Genomic DNA, 25,882 nt, shown 5'->3' with positions numbered 1-25,882 from the left:
TCCAACACGCATAGCCTGAGCTGTAGCCATTAACTTTAGTTACAAAAGCGGGTCAATGGCTAATATTATAATGTATCTGTTAGGGACTTGATATCTTTGAACATATTATTTTCTTTCTTTTTTATTCACAGAAGGGAATAGAGCAGATTATTTTCTTAGGAGATGAACAGATAAAAGTTCTCGGTTCAACCCTCACTAAGCCGCTGCCCATGATACTACACTTGATCATAGCCAAAAGGCCAAGAAGTGATTGCCCATGATACTGTGAATGAGTCAGACTTGCTCCAAACAAGCAAATTAGGAAGAAGACCTCTGAGTATCCCAAGTTATATTTCGGTTGCAGTTTGGAATCACATTGTAACTCCTACTGACTCATCTGATTAGAGGCAGTGGTGGTGTGGAACTATAGAAAGGAGGAACTTTGATTGCAGGTGCCTGTTTCTGGAAAAATTATATATATGTGTCTATAAAGAGATGCTATCTTCTGATAGGCAGGACCATTTTAACTTGATTCAGGGGAAGAGGTCCATCTGCTTTTTTCTCTTTGACCTTTTGGTAGATTGATGCTACCTGTCTTTGTCTTCTTTTTTAATACATTGTAACAAAGCTCTCCTATTAAAAGAGTCCATAAAACATGACTTAGTGCTATAACAAAGCTACAAAAACCAATTACCAGCAGGGCTCCTGAAGGTCTGTGTTGAAATGTCAAAGTAGGACTCTCTGGTTTCCTCAGAAAAGTGCTTTTCCCTTGATAGTGTCTCCTAGCTTCCACTTCTGTTTCTTCTTCATTTTAATGACATAATTAAAGAGGACTAGAATGTTTCTACTTTAAAACGTTATAAATGAATTTTTATCCAGATAAAACAGTATTACTATAAGTGTTTGCTATCAGCTTTAAAATATTACTGATGAAATTTTAGAATTGCTATCAAGTCACAGTTCATATGGGATTTAGGGTTTAAAGTTAGCATGTAAGGTAAAAATAATCAATTGTCAAAACTAGCAGTGAAATTTCATTAAATCACCCATAAAGTACACTACAGAACCATCTTTCAAGAAGTCCAGCAGAAGTGTGGCAGGAAGGATCACTGGTGAGAACCAGATAAAGTAGTTGTCTTCTGTTGAGGTGCCATGATGTTAGAACAAACAAACAAAGGAAAAAACCCTCTAAATACTAGATTCACTGTCTACCTGACAAGCTCTTTATGAGAGTTATAAAGGGCAGGGAATCAATTACATGAGGAACCACAGGTTCAGATCCTCCACTGATTCCTGTGCCTGGTAAAGGATCATTGTGTGGAAAGGCATATAACATTTCTCACATGATTTAGCTGTTTTTATTTTCCAGAATGACACACAGTTAAATTTGTCTATTACAGAAATAGACTACTGAATATAAAGAATTTGAAATAAAAATAGGGTTTTTTGGAGTTACATCCAAAAAATGTGGAGCAAATTTCAAGGGGCTACAGACAAGTAAGCAATGTATGGTTCATATATTCAATATTATTGAAAGCCTCTTTTGGGAAACATATGTTGAAATTAGAAAAACCTTAATTACAAAGACTAAGGAAATGTGTTGAAATTTGAATGGAACAAAAAAAATGGCCATCTGAGTGATACTTGTCTAAATTAAACCCTTCCAAACACAAAGCGGTGGCTTAAATTCTCTATTTTACTGAGGAGCAAATTGGGACAAGCTTCAGAGAGCCACAATGGGAATTCTAGGAAGCTTGGTCTCTTTACGCTCTATACCCTGCTGGTACTCTTAGTAAGTACAGCTCTAACTGCTCTGCTGAGGTTGTCTGGAACCAGCAATGCTCATTCCTTACCTGCTGGCTATATGCAGCCTGCCTGGATTCATGAAATGACTCAGCATATAGTTTCAAGCACAAAAATCCAAAAAACATAAAGATGAATGGTAACATCACTCACTCATTCAGATTTCTCATATCTTGGTATTGAGAAAACCCTTCTAAGCTGAGTAATTTCATTCTCTCCTTTGGCTGCTGGACCCTGAGAGTTGAAGATTGAGAAGTTCATGATGTGATCACTTTGAGTCATGGAACCTAGTCCTGTCTTCTAGGCATGTGACTTTGGGTACCAGCACACAGGGAATGCTATGTCAAATCTTACTGAGGAAATATTCCCTTACAGCTATTCTGCCCTATCTTCACTTTACCTTTTCCACTGGAATATAAGCTCCTTAAGGGAATAGGCATTGTCTTGTCTTTTTTTATTGACTTCACCTAGCACAGTGTCTGACAAATAGTACATGTTGATACATATTTTTGAAATTAATGTATTGAAGTTTACAAGATATGAGTAGAGAAAGAAAGCTCATCACTTACACAGTATTTTATAGTCACCACTCCTTTTCTGCCACATGCCACATTCTATGTATGCCACTCAGAACTTCTCTCCAAACAGCACCCTATCTCCACCTTCCTGCTTTCATAGTGACCCCCTCCACTCCCCACCCCTGATAGTTCCTGAGGGTCTGTGGCTAAACTAGGGCTAACTGGCTTCTCCACCCCAATACAATGAAGTTTCATTTAACTAAAAATGTCTTCAAAGGCCCAGAACTACAGAACATGATAATTACATAGATTTCTAATTTTAATTAAAAACCTAACATTCTTGAAACACTCCTTAGTTCATTTGGAGATTAAACCTAATTCCAGATTTAAAATGCATGCCTGTATGTGTGTATGTGTGCGTGTATACATCATTCTACAGATCATAAGTTAAACCGAAAACTAAGGAGATAAACAGGGGATGGGATGGGGGTGAAGGTGAAGCCCTTAGCCACCTGGGCTTCCATCTGGAATCAGGGCTAGGAAGGACTAGAATTAGGGAGGGCTAGGAGTTTAGCAACTGTAGTTTACTACAAAGTAAAAATGCTTCATATTAAGTAGGTATCTGAAGATGGGCTTACTACTTGAAACCAGGAGTTAATGTAGGTCTTCTCAGTTTCTCAAAGGAGGCAGAAAAAGTTCGCTGTCCTTGGGACTATTGAGTTGTGGCCCAGGAAGGCTGGAAACACTGGCTTCACCTTACAGGCAGCAACTGAGCCAAACTATCACTAGCTTGGAGGCTTGGCTCTTGGATATTCCCAATATCACCATGGAGCAGGAGCATAATCCCCTATTAAAGGTATTGTTGGACTGGCAGTCTTGGGTGAGGCCCTCAGTAGAGGCAACAGCAAAATCTTTAGATAAGGAGGGCTAAGGAGAGTGAGATGGAGGGAGGAAGAGAAAGAGAGGAAAGTCTCAAAGAAAGTAAGATATTCATAAAATTCCCAAAGCACAAAGAAATTCAATGCTAAATAAGTGTAAAAAAGAACATAATGACAACCACAACAACAAAAGAAAATTATAGACTATTCTTACAAGTGAACATAAATGAGAAAAATTGAATGGAACATTTGCAAATTGTATAGCAATACATTTTAAAAAAGCATTACCAAGTAGAGTTTATGCCAAGAATGCAATAATAGTTTAACGTCAGAAAATCTATGAATATTTCACATGAAAGGAACACAGAACAAAATCATAGCATCATCTCCATAGAGGCAGAAAAAGATTTGATAAAATTAAATACACAATCATGTTTTTTTAAAAAAATCCTAGTAAACAAGGAATGAGAAGACTTTTTCTTAACCTAATAGAAGTCATTTAACAAAAAACATACAGCACACATTATTCCTAACTGTGAAATTTTAAATAAATTCTTACTAAAGTCCGAGACAAGTCAAGAATGGCTGTCATTATCCTGGTATTCAACATGAATTAAAGACCCAAGGCAATGCAATAAAACCAACAAAATCAGAGGCTCAAAGAATTTTAGAAAGCATGATACAAAATTATTCTTATTTGTAGAGTATATGATTGTAGACAATCTTTGAATAATCTACAGATACATTAAAAATTAGAGAGATTAGTAGTGTTGCTGCATTAAAAATCAAACATGAAAATCAATTGTATTCCTAGATAGCAAAATAACTATTTTTAAAAGTATAGAATAAAGATCATTCACATAAAAACCTATACTAATAAATATATCAAAAGATGTTTCAGAGTTTTGTAGAGAATACTATAAAACATTTTTAAAGTTTATAAAAGATTAAGTATATTATACAATATGTTATACCCATGGACGGAATAGTACAGTATAACAAAGATGCCAATTCTCCTGAATATAAATTCTATATAATTTCATCAAAATTCTTATAGAGATTTTTGTGGAAATTGACAGACCAATCTTAAAAGTCACACAAGAAATTAAAAGACAGAGAAGATATAGGTAATAGTGAAGAAAAAGATCTAGGTACAGAATCTTGTCCTATCAGCTATGAAAAATTACAGCAGCCCTACCTTACTCACAGTTTCATTTTCTGTGGTTTAAGTTAACAGCGGTCAAACAGTATACCAAGAGTATTAAGTGAAAAATTCCAGAAATAAATAACTGTTCATTTTAAATGGTACACCATTCTGAGTACGGTGATGAAGTCTCACACCATCCCACTTTGTCCCAGCCTGGCATGAATCCTCTCTCTGTCCAGCATATCCACACTGAATATGCTACCTGCCCCTTAATCACTTAATAGCCATCTTGGTTATGAAATTCATTGTCTGAGTATCCATGGTATTGCAGTGCTTATGTTTATAAGTAATCCTTATTTTACTTAATAATGGCCCCAAAGCAGAAGACTAGTGATAGTGGCATATTGTTTTAATTGTTCTATTTTACTATTGTTATTAATCTCTTACTGTACCTAAGTTTTAAATTAAACTTTATCATAGGTACACTCGCATAGGAAAAGACATAGTATATATAGTATGGGTTTTGGTACTTTTTGCAGTTTCAACCATCCACTAGGGGTCTTGCAACTTACTCCTCATGGATAAGGGGAGATTGCTGTAATTTAATGCTACAGTATTTTAAGAGAATGTGCCTTTGGGTCAGACAATGATCAATAGACTATTTGAACAGAGTAGATCCCTCAGAAAAAGATCCAGACATATGGAAAGCAAGTTCATGATAGAGATAGCATAGCAATTCCATGGGGAAATCATGGACTATTTATTTGTTACATCATGCTGGATGAGTTGATTTTCTGCAAGAAAAATATAAAGTTAGACCCCCTACTTCACAGCATACAAAATGTAACTTTCTTTTTTTTGTTGTTTTATTTGTTTGTTTGTTTGTTTTAGAACAGGGTCTCACTCTGTTGGTCAAGCTGGAGTGCAGTGGCACAATCATAGCTCACTGCAGACTTGAACTCTTAGGCTCAAGTGATCCTCCTGCCTCAGCCTCCAGAAAATGTAACTTTCATATAGATAAAAAACACAAATGTGAAATCAAAACTTTAAAACTTACATAACAGTGTACAGAAGCATATCTTTACATCATCAAAGTAGGAAATTAAAAAGTCTTAAATGAAAATCTTAAAAATATAGATTATGTTAGAATGTCAATGTCTCTATAATTAAAATTATTCTACAAAAAGTTAAAAAAAACAGGCCAAAAACAGAGTTGGAAAATGTATTTGCATATAACATACAATAGATTACTAAATGGAAGAGATAATTCACTTATACAAAACCATAAAAATAAAATAGTAACTCATTAAAAAATAGTAAAATATGTGAATAAGCAATTCACAAAAATATGACCAAGAAACATATTAAAAGATGCTCAATTTCACTAGAAATTTGGGAATTGAAAACTGGAAAAATGACACACCATTTTACTCCCATCATATTGAAGAAAAATTTTGAGGTCTGAAAATAACCCATGTTGGCAAAGATTTGGAGAAACCGAAACTTACATGACCTGCTCATAGGAATGTAAACTGGTCAACCCTAGGAGGGTAATTTGGCATTATCTGGTAATATTAATGAGATATATACCTTATAATCCAATAAGTTTACATCTTGGTATCCTGGAGAAAATTCTGCCCAGGTACATGAGGCTACAAGGATAATCATTGCAGTATTTTTTTATAGCAAAAATTGGCAACAACCTAATTTTTCACCAATAGAATGAATGAATGAATGAAAATAGCAATATATTCATGCAATGGAATACTACCTAGAGATAAAATAGCAAATCATACCCACATGTTCAGTTGGATAAATCTCAAAAACATAATGTTGACTGACAAAAAATACAGAATGGCACATATGGCTTGGTATCATTTATGAAAACTTAAAAATTATGAAGCAATGACGGATATTGCTCACTGATAGAGAAAAACAAGGATAAGCATACAGGATTGTGATTTTTTTGTGGGAGAATGATAGAGCAGAATCAGACCAGGAAAGGGGGCATATGAAGACTTAATTATATTTAAAGTAATTTATTTCTTTAAAATCTATAAAAATCTGAACCAAAAATTGATGTACTCAAATTAGTTAAATGTGCATGACAAAACATAGTTACTCATTATATTATTTTCCTCTATGTTTGAAATATTTCATAATGCTTCTTCTTTTTAATGAAAAAGCCTATGAATACTATGCTAAAAATGTCAATCATTATGTTTTTCTATTCACAGCTCCCGAATGTGTAAGCTGTCCTTGCCCATAGTCCTGGATGTTCCTCTGACCCTATCCCTTCCCACAACTCTGCTAGAGTCACATCTAATGGAACCAGAAGTGTTTCAATCTGAGGAACCCCATTTGTATGCTGACCAGTAGCCTGCCAAAGAAAAAAGACTTGAACCATGTGAATTTTTTTTCTTCGGAGTTTAGAAATCCTTGTGGGTTTCCCAAGTGGAAAGAGGAGCGAAAATGTCTAATCCTTGATGCCTGTAGCTGCCATTTTGGGACATATGCAATCTGGAGAGTAAATAGATTGGCCTGGTCAACAGAGGTAGGTGATACCATGAGGCCCCAGAGAGAAGAGAGCAGCTCTGATTCCTTTTAAAAAATATGTATTTTAGCTTTTAAAAAGTGGATACATTTAAAAAGTTGCACACATTTATGGAGTGAAAGTGATATTTTGATACATGCATACAATGTTGTAATGATCACATCAGGGTAACTGGGATATCCATCATCTCAAACATTTGTCCTTTGTGTTGGGAACACTTCAATTGTTAGCTTATGGCTATGTTGAACTATTGCACCATATTATTGTGAACTACCTTTCTCTACTTCACTATTGAACACTAGATCTTTTCCCTTCTATCTAACTGTATTTTTGTAGCCATTAACCAACCTCTCTCCATTTCTTATGGAGCTCTGCAGTTCAGATTAATATGATGCAACTAAACATTTTTTTCTATTTGTGGATTTCATTAAATATCTATATCTTACAATCCTCTCCTCCCCATTCTCTTTAACTTGTGATTCTTGTAGTCTAAAAAATTATTTAGAAAAGATAGAATGATGAAATCTTTGAATCATAATCAATACTAAAGATGAAAACATTTTCATGGCAAGGATGGTAGAAACTGCCTGCTGAAGACTTAGGAGATTGTCTCTGATCTTGGCAAAAGTCTAAAACAGATTTTTTAAAAATTGTAACTTGAGAAAAAAAATCAACTTAATATTCACAATCGTATCCCAATCTCTTCTTCCCACTTCCTACCCTCACTGCTCTCTAAAGAGGAAGGACCAGTGTTATGCTAGATTTGTACCAGTTTGCCGGGGAGCAATTGTCAGATTTTCAAGAATTTGTAAGCTATTCGTTAAACACAATAATTGTTACAAATTAAATTATTCAAACTTACAGTTAAACAACTTGCATTAAATACAAGGGACTCATGGTATGCTGTCTTCATGAGACCCATCTCACATATAATGACACCCATAGGCTCAAAATAAAGGGATGGAGGAAATCTGCCAAGCATATGGAAATTAGTAAAAAAGCAGGGGTTGCTACCCTAATTTCAGACAAAACAGACTTTAAACCAACAAAGATCACAAAGGACAAAGAAGGGCATTACATAATAGTAAAGGGTTCAATTCAATAAGAAGGTCTAACTATCCTAAATATATATATACTCAACACAGGAGCACCTTGATTCGTAAAGCAAGTTCTTAGAGACTTAGTCTACAAAGAGACTTAGATTCGCACACAATAATAGTGGGAAACTCCAACACTCCACTGACAGTATTTTTGAGGACAGATCATTGAGGCAGAAAATTGACAAAAATGTTCAGGACCTGAACTCAACATTGGACCAAATGGATCTGATAGACCTCAACAGAACTCTGTCCCCAACAACAGAATATACATTCTCCTCATTACCACATGGCACATACTTTAAAATCGACCACACAATTAGACATAAAACAATGAGCATATGCAAAAGAACTGAAATCATATCAAACATACTCTTGGACCACAGCACAGTAAAAATAGAAGTCAAGACTACAAAAATTGCTCAAAGTCATGCAATTACATGGAAATTAAACAACATGCTCCTGTATGACTTTTGGGTAAGTAATGAAATTAAGGCAGATACCAAGAAGTTCTTTGAAACTAATGAGAACAATGATAAAACATACCAGAATCTCTGGGACACAGTTCAATCAGCCTTCAGTGGGAAATTTATAGCACTAAACTCCCACATCAAAAAGTTAGAAAGATTTCAAATTAACAACCTAACATCACAACAGAACGAATTAGAGAAGCAAGAGAAAGCCAACACCAAAGCTAGCAGAAGACAAGAAATAACCAAAATCAGAGCTGAACTGAAAGAAATTGAGACACAAAAAAAAACCATTCCAAAAGATCCAGGAGTTGGTTTGTTATAAAAATTAATGATATATAAGCTACTAGCTAGACTAATGAAGAAGAAAAGAGAGAAGATCCAAATAAACACAATTAGAAATGACAAAGAGGATGTTACCACTGACCCCAGAGAAATAAAAATAACTATCGGAAACTACCATGAATACCTGTATGCACAGAAACTAGAAAACCTAGAAGAGATGGATAAATTCCTGACATATACACCCTCCCAAGACTGAACCAGGAAGAAATTGATTCCCTGAACAGACCAATAATGAGCTCCAAAATTGAATCAGTAATAAATAGCCTACCGATTAAAGAAAGGGCAGGACTAGATGAATTCACAGCAGAATTCTACCAGATGTACAAAGAGATGTAAAAGATGTGGGTGTTTAGAGCTGGTACAATTCCTACTGAAACTGTTCCAAAAATTGAAGAGGGAACTAATTCTTCCCCACCTCATTCTATGAGGCCAGCATCATCCTGATACTAAAACTTGGTAGAGACACAACAACAACAAAAACTTCAGGCCAATATCCTTTATGAACATTGATGCAAACGTCCTTAATAGAATACTTGCAAACCAAATCCAGCAGCATATTAAAAAGCTAACCCACAACAATCAAGTAGGCTTCATCCCTGGTATGCAAGGTTGGCTCGACATATGTAAATTAATAAATGGTATTCATCACATAAACAGAACTAAAGACAAAAACAACATGATTATCTCAATAGATGCAGAAATGGCTTTCAATAAAATTCAACATCAGTTCATGTTGAAAACTCTCAGTGAAGGAACATAGCTCAAAATAGTAAGAGCCATCCATGACAAACCCACAGAGAACATCATACTTAAAGGGCAAAAGCTGGAAGCATTTCCCTTGAAAACTGGCACAAGTCAAGGATGCCCTCTCTCACTCCTCATAGTCAATGTATTAGGTTGGTGCAAAAGTAATTGCAGTTTTTGCCATTATAGTAAATGTAAAAGCCACAGTTACTTTTGCACCAACCTAATAGTATTGGAAGTCCTGGCCAGAGCAATCAGGCAACAGAAAGAAATAAAGGGCATCCAAATAGGAGGAGAGGAAGTCAAACTACCCTTGTTTGCAGACCACCTGATTCCGTATCTAGAAAACCCCATAGTCTTGGCCTAAAAACTCCTTCAGCTAATAAACAACTTCGGCAAAGTTTCAGGATACAAAATTATGTTCAAAAACCACTAGTATTCCTATACACCAACAACAGACAAGCCAAGATTCAAATCAGGAATGCAATCCCATTCACAATTGCCACGAAAAGAATAAAATATCTAGGAATACAGCTAACTAGGGAGGTGAAAGATATCTACAATGAGAACTACAAAGCATTGTTCAAAGAAATCAGGGCCAGGCGCGGTGGCTCACTCCTGTAATCCCAGTACTTTAGGAGGCCGAGGCAGGCAGATCATGAGGTCAGGAGTTCGAGACCATCCTGGCTAACATGGTGAAACCACGTCTCTACTAAAAATACAAAAAAGTAGCCGGGGGTGGTCGCACATGCCTGTAGTCCCAGCTACTCAGGAGGCTGGGGCAGAAGAATCGCTTGAACCTGGGAGGCAGAGGTTGCAGTGAGCCAAGATCATGCCACTGCACTCCAGCCTGGGTGACAGAGTGAGACTCCATCTCAAAAAAAAGAAAGAAAGAAAGAAAAGAAAAGAAAAGAAAAAGAAATCAGAGATGACACAAATAAATGGAAAAACATTCCATGCTCATGGATCATGGATAGGAAGAATCAATATGATTAAAATGGCCATACTGCCTAAAGTGATTTGCAGATTCAGTGCTATTTTTATCCAACTACCAAAGACATTTTTCACAGAATTAGAAAAAATGATTTCAAAATTCATATGGAACCAAAAAAGAGTCTGAATAGCTACAGCAATCCTAAGCAGAAAGAACAAAGCTGGAGTCATCACCTTAGCCAACTTCAAACTATAATACAGGGCTGCGGTAACCAAAATAGCATGGTACTGGCACAAAAATAGACACATAGGCCAATGGAACAGAATAAGGAGCCTAGAAATAAGGCTGCACACCTACAACCATCTGATCTTTGACAAAGCTGACAAAAACCGTCAGTGAGGAAAGGACTCCCTTTTCAAGAAATGGTGCTGGGGTAACAGGCTAGCCATATGCAGAAGATTGAAACGGGACCCTTTCCTTACACCATGTACAAAAATCAACTAAAGATAGATTAAAGAATTAAATGTAAAACCCAAAACTATAAAAACTCTGGAAGACAACCTAGGCAATACCATTGTGGACATAGGAATGGACAAAAATGGCCTGATGAAGATGCCAAAAGTAATTGCAACGCAAGCAAAAGTTGACAAATGGGATCTAATCAAATGTAAAAGCTTCTGCACAGCAAAAGAAACTATGAACAGAATAAACAGACAATCTACAGCATGGGAGAAAATATTTGCCACCTATGCATCTCGCAAAGGTCTAATATCCAGCATCTGTAAGGAACTTAAACAAGTTTATAAGAAACAACAACAACAACAAACATTAAAAAGTGGGCAATGGACATGAACAGACACTGCAAAAGAAGACATACATGTGGCTGACAGGCATATGAAAAAAAGTCAAATATCACCGAACATTAGAGAAATGCAAATGAAAACCACTGTGAGATACCATCTCATACCAGTCAGAATGGCTGTTAATAAAAAGTAAAAAAATAACAGATCCTGGCAAGGTTGCAGAGAAGAGGGAACACTTAGACACTCTTGGTGGGACTGTAAATTAATTCAACCATTATGGAAAGCAGTGTGGTGATTCCTCAAGGAGCTAAAAACAGGACTACCATTCAACGCAGCAATCCCAATACTGGGTACATACCCAGAGGAATGTAAATCAGTCTACCATAAAGACACATGTATGTGAATGTTCATTGCAACACCTGTCACAATAGTAATTATATGGAATCAACCTAAATGCCCATGAATGACAGATTGGATAAAGAAAATGTGGTACATATATACCATGGAATACTATGCAGCCATAAAAAAGAATGAGATGATGTCTTTTGTGGGAACATGGATGGAGCTGAAGATTATTATCCTTAGCAGACTAATGCAGGAACAGAAAACCAAATACTGCATGTTCTCACTTATTAGTAGCAGCTAAATGATGAGAACTTATGGACACAAAGAGGGGAACAACAGACACCGGGACCTACTTGAGGGTGGAGGGTGGGAGGAAGAAAAGGATCAGAAAAAATAACTATTGGGTACTAGTCTTAGTACCTGGGTGATAAAATAATCTGTACAACAAATTCCTGTAACATAATTTTACCTATATAACAAACCTGCACATGTACCTGTTAACCTAAAATAAAAGCTAAAAAAAAAAACCCCAAAGGAAATAAATGCTAAAAACTCATCACTTCTTAATTATTTTGCTGCATTTTAAATTACCTATGCTTTTTAGTTTATTTGAATGCTTTGTATCCGTATGGTGTGAATACCATATAAAGGTGTGTTACTGCACATCTTCCTAATTACACATTTAGTGACATCATGTTGGTAACTTGAAAATGGCCATGGCAGCAGCATTTACACCACAGAAATTGGCAAATGCTACCAACCAGGTCTTGATTTATTGTTTTGTTGATTGTCTACGTTTAAGAAAGTGATGAGAATGTTAATGATGCAGATTAAACAAAAAGGAATGTTCTGTCTATAGCTGTCATATTGTGAGTAACATGGAAATTTGAGGAAATATTCAACTGTATTCAAAACTCTTATCCAGTTAAGCAAAGAAGTTGTTCACATTTATTGATGAAGAGTGGACCTGTGAGGTATACCTTTTCTGTTTCATTTTTGTCTTACTCATTAACATATATATAAATATCAACCACATTTACATGGAAACTATATTCATTCATCAATCATAAATTTTGTTACACATCTATTTTATCAGTGAAAGTCATAATATATTTTATATATTAGGTATATAATATATAATGTACACACACGTACACACAGGCAAACATACACATCTTTTCACATGCCACCTGGAAGGGCCACATAAAATTATATAGGGAATGGAGGAGTTGTAGACAGAAAAGATTAGGCTAGTAATTTAGTAGTTCTGGAGAACTGGACATGATTAGGAGAGAAGAGGTAAGTGAGAAAAAAACAAGAACAAAACAGCACATTTTGTTTTTATAAAGCACAGACAGAAAGGTAAAATGTTTGAGTTGTTACTCAAAATGAGAAATTTGGGTTAAGAAGATCTTTAGAATATTTTGCTGTGGAATGTAACATAATTCCCCTTTGAAGGACTTCAGCAAAAATGTACATTGTTGTCATCTTTTTAGATGTTTTGATTTTCCATTTTCGAATGCATGTCTGAGCTTAAATGGCCCATGAAGCAGTCGGTTATATTCAGATCACACTAGCATTTTGATAATAAAATTATTAGTTGAAGTCAATATGGGTTTAATATGAACAAGTTCTATCAAAGTTGTTTTTTGTTTCTCTTAGGATTGGGTGGCTCTATTAGCATATATTGAAAATAATAACAAAAGCAACAACAATACAACTATTACTACTATTATTATTTTTATATTACCAGAATTTTTTCTATATTCTTTACATGTAATTTGAGCTTGCATTTACATGCCTCACAAACACCTTATGACGCAGATACAAATAATTTATTACTATATTTTATTTGTCAGGAACAGACAAGGTAATCTAATTTGCTCTAAAGCACATAACCAGTAAAGTCTAGCAAGATTAGAATTCAGACTATCTAGCCCTTGAGGTGGCATTATTAATTAACTCTACAATGCTACAAAATTGCCAAGCATTAGCAGTATAATGTATTTTAAGTATTTATCTTAGTTTCTACAGGGCACAGATATCAGCCTAAAGATAGGTCCCAGTCTGGGTGTTGGAAAGCTACTTTGTATTTGATTCTGTTGATTGAGTTAATGTAAGCATTTACTGAGCATCTGGTTGTTTAAGAGAATATCACAGACATTTCAGGAGAGACAAAGATGAATAAAACATGGTTCCACCTTTGAGGAGCTTAAAATCCAGATATTCACTGTCTCTACCAATCTCTTGAATGAAGCCAAGAGGCAGATCAAACTGACAAAGGATTTAAAATAATTTAAATTCAAAAAACTCCTAATAGTTTTACTTATATTCTGAAATTACTACGTGTTGCATGGATAAATATATTTTGCATCATATTCAAAACCAAGTGCAAAGATACATGACTGAAAAATCTGTTTTAGTAGCAGCTTTTGTATCTAGGGGTTTTAGATTAGCCTCAGGACTAAAGTGCTATTAAAATTTTTGATGTGCTCTTAGTTATTGTAATAAAACTAACACACCAGAACGAGAATTTCTTTTTGTTTTTGTTTTTTTCTAGAAGCTCTGTACTGGTCAGCCATCTCAGCAGTATTCTTTTCAGTTCAGGCTGTAACATTTTAAAAGGAGCATTGAAAAATGCAACTTGGATAAATGGAAAAGGATAACTAAACCAAGTCGTGTGAAGAATGGCTGAAGAAATTGAGGATGTTTAGCCTGGACAAGGAAGACTCAGAGAGTATACGGGATCAGATTCCAAAATATTTGGAGGGTTGTCATGTGGGGAAGGAGTCAGCTTCTTCTGAGCTGCTCCAGAAGGGATAAACTAGCACAAATGACCCAAAGTCAGAGGGAGGTTATCTCAGGTTAGCGAAAGAAAGTTTGAATACTGAGCTATTAAAAAACGGATTAGGCTACCATATGAGATAGAGGAAGGGCTTCGAGAGAAGATGTTGTGAGGACAGCTAGGGGTGGGCTGTTGAACTGCATCATATTGAAAGCATCTTCCAAAATTAAAGTTCCATGATTTATGATTCCATAACAGAAGTAATTCCCTAAATGTTTACAACACACACACAGTAAAATCATATTTTCCCGAAATACGTGAAATTTGGGGGATTGTAATTAACATATGAGTAGCAATTACCTTTATTGTCCTTTTAGAAGTACAAGAAGCAGTGACATTTAGGTCATGACAAGAGAAGAAATACGTGGCCTTTGTGCATGGAAAGCCCAAGAACGATGGGCATAGGCCCTGGGAATCCACTCCTTTGGAAACAGAGGACTGTTTTGATATAAAAAAGTGAACAGAGAAAGAATACAAGGTTAACACTGGATGCAACTTTAAATCCTTCAGCACAGTGCCTAGCAGCCATAAAAAAGCAAACAAAAGTCTGCAAACCCTTTCCAGAGGCGATGAATAGAAACAGAACAAATCACTCTTGCCTACATAAATGCTACATCCCTGTACTGCTTTGCTGGCCATAGACCTCCTCTGCAAAGGGCATTAAAGCCATAGGGAAGGGGAAGAAAAGGCACCCAGAATGAGGGCAAAAAGTTCTGATGCATAGATCTTGAGCTAAATTACACAAACCAAGTTAATGTAATTGGCAAATGGATACTTAGAGATGGAATACTTAAAGAAAATCCCTCTAGAAGAGGCCAAGGAACCAGTGAAAGAGACTGCTCTAGGCTTGTTGAATACAGGAAAAAAAATGAAGAAAAAAGATTGACATTGTAACCCAAACAAAGCTCAGTGGAGAGGCAAGAAGAATTAAGAGAACAGGTCTTTGCCCAGACAATGAAAGCCTCAGCTAAAATCCTAGCCACACCATGCAATTTATTAAAAGTTGTTTCTTCCCCCAAAACCAACCAGCTTCCACTAGTCTCTAGCGTTCTTTTCTGACTTATTTCATTAACATTTCCTTCTTTTTCTGGAGCAGTCAGGGCCCCAGGGAATCTTTCTTTTTCCCCACCTCACCCCCACCAATGGGGCATTGAATGAGAGCCAGGGTGTTGTCTGTGAAAAGAGAAATTGCAAAACCACAAATTGCAGAAAATGGTTCCTGCCAAAAATCGAAAGGAACACACGATATCACCAAGCCTCTTAAAAAGCAATTGCGCATTTTACAGGCCTCTAGATAATTCAGGTTTCTTTGGCAACTTTCTCACCCATACCACCCAGAAGATAATTCTCTTCCACCAGAGGCAGTGGTCCTAAAGAATATGAGCGGTTGAAAAGAAAAGAAAGAATGTGGGTGCAAGTCTTTCCAGAGCAGTGACCTGGCCCAGTAGTGTTCTATTTTCTTCTATTGTGTAGCATTAATTTGAAGGCCCAAAGCTTGCCACCAGAATCCCAAGGACTCCCACTAAAACAGGGAGGGTCTCCAATAATTTAATAAGATTATTGGTAATACAAAGCATTTTCAGATGGTAAAATTTTTCCAAAACATTATATCATGTGATTATCACAACAACCCTTTGAAGGGGTCAGGAGAAAATGTCTTCCTTCCTCTCTCCTTCCCCAAAAAGATACTTTGAAACCGAAGGGTTAAGTAACATACTCCAAATTATACTACTGAAGGAGTGAACTGGGACTTAGCCATTAGCCTTTTGATTTTTGCTCCTGAGTTCCTTCCATCGCCCAGCCTTATTCCTCTATGGAGGCATATTTTCCTGACTTGGCTAAAGCTGTCCTCCATCCGTGGGTTGGGATTTTATGTGTTGCATATACATTTCCAGGACCTTTACTTGGAAAGTCTCCTGTCATTCACTATAGATCTAAGTCTTGTCTGAATGGAACGTTGATTAGGTCGTTTTCCATTTGTATTGGTTGAATAATACAATCATCATTAGGACAAAAAGTCAACTCCAGAGGGGCTGGTTCAATGTAGCTGCCAAAAAGAACCCAGGTCAAGATTGCCTGGTGATTTTAATATGTTTCCGTGACTCCATGGGTCAGACCAACCTTTCCCCGGTTGCTCAGAGATTGCTTGGGGAGCTGGGTAGACCCATTTTGTCTGGATTGTTTATAATCCCAGTGCAAGCTTCCTTCTCAAAATGTTTACTAATGAAATAGGTCACTAAGCACCCTGTATGTGTCTGAGAAAAAAAAAATGTGAAAAGAAAACAAACAGTCACAAACTGAGACCTCTAAAGTAAAATAGCCACCCCCCAACCCCCCTTTTTTTTTTTTTTTTTTTTTTTTTTTGCAATCTGAAAGGTAACGGGTGCTTTCAACTGAAATTTTGATAAAGAGATCCTGCGGTAACACGTGGGTGTTTAAATTTACATATAGTGACTTAAAATGCGGCCTTAAATTGCCCTTCATCAAATTTTCACGATTAATATATACCAAGTATCTTTCGGTATTTAACATTAACTGATTTAAAATACTAGTAAACCTAAATAGGCAGTAACAGTATGGTAAAGAGCTACCAAATATGAATATGCAAGAAAGTAAACATAGGCAATTTCCCCTGAACAGCTTTCTGTGTTCAAAAGAAATAATACAGTCAAAAGTTAACATTTGTACAAACAATATACTCATGACAGCACACGAAAAGGAGACTACTCATAAAATCTAACGTGACTTTCTTGGTAAAAGCTGCTTAAAACATTCATAGCATGCAGGTGTCTTGATAATGCAATAAAGACTAAAGCAAGATAATACAGAGACTGACATTTTAAAAAATATCAGTGAATGCGTAATACGTTGACATTAAATCTGAATGTTTTGAGGGTGAATGTCTTTTGTGCTAACGCTTGAGTATTTGATGTACAGCAGTGGGATCAATTTATTCTAGAGAGCAAACAAAAAACCAACCCCTAGGGAAATCAGTAAAAACTAAGTTTCTCCTGCAGTTCAGCTGAACACATAATCTTCTCAGGAACTGAATGATTCAAAAGAGAATTTATTAGAACATGTATAATATATATAATTCAACTGTACTCTTTGGATTCTGATAGGTACTAGAATGTCTAATTAAATGCTTCAGTGACTACTGAGATGTATTCTCTGCTGGAAATTCTACATGAATTAGAAGTTGATGTATCCTCCATGAGGGTACATGACTCAACCATCTACCTTATAGTTGTTGATTACTTGCTTAGTGACAAGCAACTTACTACATTTTGAGCTACTTTTGAACAGCTAGGGTCTTTATACTAAAGCTAAATCTACCTCCTGCTTTTGTAAATTGGATATTATTAAATTACACCAGAGACATATGAAACTTTCTTTTTTTCCTTTGTTAAAATTATTCTTACCTTCATTTCATTAAAAAAGAAAAAAAAAATCACCCTAATTCCAAAGACAAAACTCAGAACTCCCAGTTCAGATCTGCTAAAATTTTCTTTGGTCTTTCAGAATAGAGGGGATTTGTAATTTGGGTATAGACACTGGAAGTACTAAGAATAAAGAAACATAATACACAGGAGATTAGTTCTGGAGAGAATACGGGTTTACAGAGTGGCCATAACGCAGTACACACAGGAAGGAATTATTAAGGTTACCACCATGCCGTTAAACAAGAAACAGTCTGTGACCACACGGTGAGGAGCAACTGGGAAAAGAATAATAAATTAGTCATTTGAGAGAACTGAATATTTAAATGTTTAGTGTCACATGGTCATAATATATAAATGAATATTGCCTATTTTTTTACTCCTCACTTTTATCTACCTTTAGACGTAATATTGTCACAACCACAATTAAGTTCAATCTGCTTCCAAATTGGTTTCTGAAATGTTCCATGATGTTATACAAATCAATAGTATGAAATGTTAGATTGGCTGTGTGTGCTGAGCTAGACTTTAAAAATGCAGCAATGTGAGATGGGAGCCTTAAAGATTAGGAGGCTTTAGGAATTACAGCTGAGAAGTAGATACCATTTCAAGGAGGAAATGTACTTACATTTTGCTGCAAGTAAAATGCCTGTCTTTAAAGAGTAGCCTCTGAAACAAAGAAAGAAAAAAAGAATGTTAAAAAATTGTACAGTAATCAATTCAAAATGAAAAAGGAGTCACGTTTGAAGCCACTGATTGAAAAAAAAAAGAGAGAGAAGCCTAGCCTACAGATGAATATATATTTATTGGGAGACTTTTCTTGGGGATACAGGAGGCTGTAGCCCAGAAAGAAAAAACATTCATGCTAGCTGCTGTATCTCATCACATGCTCAGCTCCCTGCTCCTTAGTATCCTAGAATTTCAAGACTACTTGATGCTCACTTTGTCTCCCAGGTCCAATCTTGGAGACAGAAAACATGGTAAGTCTGGCTGGCTCATTCAGTGGCTTAGACGCTCATCATTCTCTTGCTTCTGGTTCACACTGACATTGTACCTTGTTCTTGTTGGCCAAGTTCTGACACATTGTTCCTTTAAATGAAACTTCTCCTAAAGATTATGGTTTTCTCAACTCATACTTATTAGGATAAATGGACAGTTTTCTTTTCCAAGAAATAGAAAGCTTTTGTGGGAGATGCGAGGAGGGGGATTGAAACCAATGCCAAGTTTCTATTTATTCAAGATGTTGGTAAAAGGGGAGGGACAATTAGACTGTGCCTATGCTTGGAAGGCCAATTGTGCAGGCAATTTGTTCAGTGTGGCAGCCCACCAGACAATTCAGCTTGCTTCCAAATCCATAATTTATTGGACCTATTGTGGTTATATTGAAAGGGGTACTTTTTAGTGTAGTAGGTTTAATAGGAAATGGCAGGAAAGTCCCTATGATTGATATGAACTATTTGCATTCTGAGATTCAAGTGATTCCAGATCATCTCTAAGACTAAGCACTCAAATCATGGTGTCCTCAGACCTACAGAAAGATCTTTCCACACCACCCACACTGATCTGGATAGGTCAGATTAGTTACTTCAGTGACCGATGTTTTTCCAAGCTCTACCATTTCTTAATAATAGTGTGATTTGGGCAAATTGGTTCAATGCTCTGAGATTGATAGAAATATTACTAGTGGCTATTTCAAAGAATTGCCATAAAGGTTAAATAAAATAATATATATAAAATAGTTAGATAAAGTCCTCCTAATGTCAGCGTGAACCAGAAGCAAGAAAATGATGAAAGTCTTAAGCCATTGAACTAGCCAACCAGACTTATTGTATTTCCTCTCTCCAGCACTCTCTCCAATTCCACCTGGTGTTGTTACTGCTGTTATTATTACTATCAGAAGGCCAAGTTGTAAAACCAAATTAAGAACATATGATAAATCCATGAAATGGGAGCTGGGAAGGTAGCTATGGAGGTTTTGCTTGGGTAAGATGTCTCCATTTGTGACAGTCAAAGCTATATCCTTGTCCCAAATTCCTCATCCAGATTGCTTTTCTCCAATTTTCATTCCTCCAACTACTCAATATCTCCAATCAACATCCTTATTAAAAAATCTCTACGTGTTTTAGCAAGCCACCTAATTCCTCATTTACTATCTGTGAAGGTGGTTAGGAGTGGGGCTCATGGATTGACAAATTGTTAAATTATTAAATTTCTGGGCCCATAAATAATACAGATAATTCCTCTTTATACAGGTAAGAGGTTGATACATTTTTATTGGACTGAATTTCTTAGATGGATTCTATAGTTTGACCCGACAAGATCTCACATGTGTCACTAACTGGAAGAAGTTATTATTATTAGTTGTTAGTTATTATTCTATAGTTTGACCCAACAAGATCTCACATGTGGCACTAACTGGAACACTGTTCTGATCACAACCTGACACACATTTCCTCCCACCCCTTGCCCTTCCAAACAAAAAAAAAGTCCACTGAAAATTCTTCTGAAATTGTGTACCCTTCAGCTCCTTTGAAGAACCTGTTGCTAGGAAACAAATTTGGAACATTCTCACCTACTGAGAAAAGTTTTTACTGCTGCCTCACATAATGCGTTCTTTGGCCACAAAAGTATTCACAAAGAAAATTATCTGTCTATTACTTCACAGATTCATTGGACAAGAACTCTTCATTTGGGCAACATTTTCACAGCAATATCATTGATTACTTTGAAAACTATTCAGGGATGTCCTTGAGACTGCATTATGTATCTATTCAATTCAATGTTACTGATCATTTTTCTTGAGGTACAAAATAAATCAAGCTGTTAAGCATACTGTGGCAGTGTGCTTTTTCAGACCAGAGAGTTACATAAAAACTCACCTCTGCTTTTTTAAAGCTTATTTCCACAACAGACAAAGAAAAACCTGAATTCTTAAAGGAGAAAGAGAGGCCTTCAAATTATTAACTCCTTCACTGAATGCTTATTGAGTGCCTACTATGTGCAAGGCACTGTGTTGGGCCCTAATAACACATCCCCTCCCCTCGTGATTAACCTCTGTCTGGTTGGAGGGACAATTGGACAGTTTAGAGGGATCACATCACAATATAACACAAAGTTACAACAGTGGCCAGTGAGGAGGCAAGATGGAATTGGGTAATCAATCCAGATAGAAAGGTCCAGGAAGTCTAATTTGGGGAAGCATTGAAATAGCATCTGGTAAAAAATTCATATTTAATAATAATAGTTAATAATATGGAGTGCTTAATGCATCAAGAACCTCCTAATGTACTGAGCAGTTAATTCCTCATAATAACCCTAGGGAGATATTATTCTTACGCTAGAGCAGGACATAAGAAGGCAGATGGGGAATGTGGAGCAGACCAAGCAAGGGAACATCACTGAGTGCAAGACCCTGGGCAGGAGGAACTGGCTCACTTGAGGGACCACCATTTGTATTATTTGCATATACTTTGGCAGAGACCATTCTCTCACCACACAAGGGTCTTTAAGAGATCATAAATGGGGATCTTCTTATGTGGATCCTAGAAGACTTTAGCTAGGGAAGCCTAGTCTCTCTGCTCCCACCTCAGGGGAGATGTGAGGTACATCCCGGCTCTGCCCTGTGCTATGCCCACCTCAGAAGATCTGCATGGCCAGCAGGTTACCCTCCTCGGATCACAGTAGGACATGTGCCTGATTCAGTAGCAAGGTTCATACAGAACAGACTTTGACCGAAGCCCTTGGACACATTCTTTGGTCTCTTTGCTGGAATCCACTTTCATATGAACTGTGCTGAACACTGAGGATACATCTCTGTCTGTGATCTCTTCTGAGAACATCTTATCTTTAAACCAAGTGCTCAACCAGGGGATTCTTCATACCATTCATTGATCTCAACTTCTCACCCTGGTTCCTGTGGTTGATCCCATCTGGTTGTCATCTGTAACCTACAATTGACACTCATTAGAAAATAAGATCACTTAGAAATTTCTGAGTGTTCTATGCTGATTAGGCTATCTGGCTTGAGTTGTCAGTTATTTAAAATGTTTATGGTTTGTAAAAAGTTGCATCAATGCGAGTATAATTGTATAATGTAACCTATGGAGTAAAATCTTCTATATACCTATTCCTCTTTATGATACACAATAATCTAGCTCCTATATGTTCAAGATTATGAATGTTGAGATGAGGTGGCTACTGTACTCTTATTCTGAATTTTGAATTAATTCTATTTTATGTTAATTTTACTTACTTAATGCTATGGTAGGACTACCTATTCTCTATCCCACTGATTCTCAGGAGTATAGGTAACCACGTAAATTACCTGTGAAATTAATTTAAGAATGAAGGTTTTATTTAAGATAGAATATGCCAGTGATCAGACAATAAAAATAATTTATGAATAGTGTATCTCCTCTTTGCTTTGATCAAGTGTTCTTTAAAAGCCAAGACTATGTGATGAAGGCATAGGGATGTGATGTCAAGAGTTGTAGGGGCTCTGCCCATGACCCCCACTCTGGGGGCAGAAGCAAGGTCAGAGGGCCAGGAGTTCAAGTCTCGATTCTTCCACCAACCTCCAGTGTGACCTCTGACCAGTTACTTAATCTGTCTAAGTCTCAAGGCCTTCAACTGTAAAATAGAAATAAGAGTAGCACTGTACTTCTCCTAAGATTGTTGTGCTTATTGGAGGATATACATATAAAGCATTTGGAAGAGAACGTGCCCAATCCTAGTGCTTACTATGTGACAGTTATGTTGTCTTCATTAAGTCCAAATTGAAAACTTATTGTACAAAGAACGGTACCATCCATTGGATTAAAATATTCTGTACTAGTTCCTTAAATGGTTATAATCGGGGGACATGACCTCTTTTGTCTCTGTGGGTTCTGATTTGACCCACAATGAGCTCAACTTTAAAAAGTGATATCAGATTGTTTTTCATGACTTCTAATAATTTTTCTCACAGTTGCTTTTTAATCCCTTGGCCTCACTCGTATTTTACTGATTTTATAAACACTGCCAATGGCTTCTCCTACGGTATTGGAATTTTGCTGTTTTTTGTTTTTTCCTAGCCTTGACTCTGTGCCTTTGCTGAGGCCTTGGTGAACCATTCCACTGACTTAGCGTGTTTATTTATAAATGACTCCTTGTGTTTTGATTTCTTTATACCTTTTTAACAGTTAAAAATATTTGTAATCGAAATAAGCAATTTTCATTATCAAACATTTAGAAAATATTTAAAAACCCACTTAAATAAAGTAAAAGAACTCAGAACTGCACAGATTTATTTTGAAGCACACAAAGAAGTGAACGCTTTGCCCAACACCCCCGTTTTCCAGAAGTAATTCTATCAACAGCATGTGAGGTTATCCTTCTAAATATTTTTATGCTTATGAAAGCATAAGCATATAAACTTTTATCCATAGATATGTATGTCATGAAAATTTTTATAACAAAAACAAGCTCATGCTAGATAATTTTCTATAATATGCTTTTATCCTCTTAATGGTATTTTTGTGGACACAGATTCCAAGTCAGTATATAGAGATCTCCTTATTCTTGTTAGTGGCTAAGTAGGATTCCATTTATGGACATGTCCTAACAAATCCCATATTCATAGACATTTAGGTTGTTAGTAATTTTTTGCAATTACAGTGGGCTTGTAATGACCAAGCATTTTGAACATTTACTTTTAGACGTGTGGTCTTATACTCTAAAGTAGTTCTTAGAATTGCAAGTACTTTATACTAGGGTAGATGCAGCTTACTATTAGATGGGTTGTGCAAATCACTCTTCAAGAAGGTTGAAACTATTCACCCTCTATCAACAATAAGATGTGTCCTCTATGTGTATTTTTCACTTAGCATGCATAACTTCCATTTCTTCAAGTTTTTCTTCTCTGTGTGCTAATCTTCCACCTGAACTTCAAGATACCTTATTCAGTTTTCAGCAATATTTTTGAGTTTCAAGAACTCTCTTTTTCTCCGATCATTCCTTTGTAATAATTTCCCTAGTCTCCCTAGGAATTTGCATTATACTCTTTTAGTGTCCTTTGTCTTTCTTTCTTTAAGACTATCTCACAGACAGCCACCTGTTCTGATTGTGTTGTTCTTTCCTCCTTCAAACTGCTGAGTCATCTTCAATGCCTTGTGCATTTTTTCTCCTCACTGTTACTTGTCTGCAAACATCCAGATCTTTCTGACCCATTACAGTGAAATAAGTCCTCAGCACACATGTAGGCAGGCTTTTGGGGTCTCCTAACTAGTAGTGGGTCTGCAAGTTGTGAGAGGCAAAGGAGGAATATTTTCCTGGTGAACAGCCTGGTAGGCTAGAACCCCTCAACTGAGGGTGTAGGGGAAGCCTCCAAGTTCTCAGGATCCTCCAGGCAAGTGCAGAGCGTGGCAAGTCTCTTCGTGTTACACAAAAAGAGTCTTTTGGGCTCCTCCTCAGCCATACATCTAAAACAAGCAGTCCTGCTGAGAACAGCCACTGAGGCCAGTGCTCCTTATACTTGAATGTGTCCACAGATCACCTGAGACCCTGATAAAAAGCAGATTCTGATTTGGAAGGTCTGGGGTGGGGACTGGAATTCTGCATTTCTTACAAGTTTCCACACAGGGCAGTAGGCTCTATGGGGTGGGCCCCTTGGACTGAAGAGAAAAAGAGCCTGTGTTCCCTGTTTCCTGGGAGGCAGGCATTTTCCCAGGCTTCAGTGCCCTCACCTTCCCCAGCCCTGTAAATGATGGTGTCCAGAAGATGCCCACCAATGGCTGAATCTGACCACCACTTCCAAAACCTGCAAGCCAGGGTGTTGGGGACTCCTGTACTGCAAACAAATGTAGGCCGAGCTTCAGCTTTTCCCATCTACAGATAACTGTGTTCGAAATCGCTTTGTCACATCTGCAGAATGCTGGGAGAGAGTTTCTTCAGGTAAAGTTCATCCATGTTTCCAACCACTTCAAATTATATTTGGACTTCTGTATATCTTGATTGCTATAAGAATATTTGAATGTATTTTTAACCATTTAAAATTGTTCTTGGTATACACTTATATCTGGCTATCACTGAACTTCTTAAAAAAAGTATTAATTTCTTGTACATCGTATAAGGCTCTGTTTGATTCTAATGTTTATTGACATTTAATTTTCCTTATAAATTTTCATAATTTGGTCACCTTTCATCTACTTCAGGCCCTTCATCAATAGGCATATATACAAGCAGATGTATAAATATGGCATATATTTATATATTTGATATAGTTTGGATGTGTGCCCCACTCAAATCTCATGTTTAAATGTAATCTCCAGTGTTGCAGATGCAGCCTGGTGGGAGGTGACTGGATCATGGAAGTGGATTTCCCATGAATGGTTTAGTACCATCTCTTGGTACTGTCCTCACGGTAGTGAGTTCTCATGAGTTCTGGTCATTTAAAAGTGTGTGGCATCTTTATGCTCTCTCTCTCTTGCTCTTGCTCTGGCCATGTGACCTGCCTGCTTCCCCCTTCACCTTCTGCCATGATTCTAAGTTTCCTTAGGTCTCTCCAGAAGCTGAGCAGATGCCAACATCATGATCCTGTGCAGCCTGCAGAACCATGAGCCAATTAAACCTCTTTTCTTTATAAATTACCCAGTCTCAGGTCTGTCTTTCTTTCGTTCGTTCGTTCCTCCCTCCCCCACTCCCTTCCTTCCTTCCTTCCTCCCTCCCTCCCTCCCTCCCTTCCTTCCTTCCTTCCTTCCTCCCTCCCTCCCTTCCTCCCTTCCTTCCTTCCTTCCTTCCTCCCTCCCTCCCTTCCTCCCTTCCTTCCTGACTTCCTCCCTCCCTCCTTTCCTTCCTTCCTCCCTCTTCCCTTTCCCTTTTCCTTTTCCGTTTCCCTTTCCCTTTCCCTTTCCTTTCCTTTCTTTTCCTCCCTTCCTCTTTCTTTCTTTCTTTTTAGATAGAGTCTCTGTCACCCAGGCTGTATTGCAGTGGTGAAATCATAGC

The 25,882-nt window shown here is 36.9% G+C and overlaps 1 protein-coding gene across 11 annotated transcripts in view, besides 2 other annotated features; it reads right to left on the bottom strand.

Annotated features, from left to right (window-relative positions):
- ANKFN1 (ankyrin repeat and fibronectin type III domain containing 1) overlaps positions 1-25,882 on the bottom strand; it is a 470,940-nt gene that overhangs the window by 270,529 nt on the left and 174,529 nt on the right. For 9 of the 11 annotated variants that reach the window (XM_047435502.1, XM_017024263.2, XM_011524430.3 and 6 more), the window contains one exon: positions 18,531-18,571. Coding sequence is in view for 7 of the 11 variants with exons in the window: in XM_017024263.2 (XP_016879752.1) it covers positions 18,531-18,571 (41 nt within the window). In the remaining 4 variants the exon portion in view is untranslated. Of the gene's footprint in view, positions 1-18,530; positions 18,572-21,537; positions 21,980-25,882 lie in introns of those variants that run through there. The other 2 variants (XM_017024266.2, XM_011524429.3) reach the window with 2 other exon arrangements.
- Positions 16,160-16,770: an enhancer, noted in NCBI's record as "OCT4-NANOG hESC enhancer chr17:54307079-54307689 (GRCh37/hg19 assembly coordinates)". NCBI's record gives its function as "activates a minimal SCP1, AML or CMV promoter by ChIP-STARR-seq in naive H9 embryonic stem cells {active_cell/tissue: H9 hESC(naive)}" and the evidence as "EXISTENCE:reporter gene assay evidence [ECO:0000049][PMID:30033119]".
- Positions 23,626-24,825: an enhancer, noted in NCBI's record as "MED14-independent group 3 enhancer chr17:54299024-54300223 (GRCh37/hg19 assembly coordinates)". NCBI's record gives its function as "activates an origin of replication core promoter dependent on BRD2, BRD4, P300/CBP and CDK7 cofactors, and independent of MED14, by STARR-seq in HCT116 cells {active_cell/tissue: HCT116}" and the evidence as "EXISTENCE:reporter gene assay evidence [ECO:0000049][PMID:35650434]".

The sequence above is a fragment of the Homo sapiens genome, chromosome 17, assembly GCF_000001405.40.
Source record: "Homo sapiens chromosome 17, GRCh38.p14 Primary Assembly".
Taxonomy (NCBI): domain Eukaryota; kingdom Metazoa; phylum Chordata; class Mammalia; order Primates; family Hominidae; genus Homo; species Homo sapiens.
Note: the sequence above shows the minus strand (reverse complement) of the source record. Positions and strands in the feature narration are given on the sequence as shown.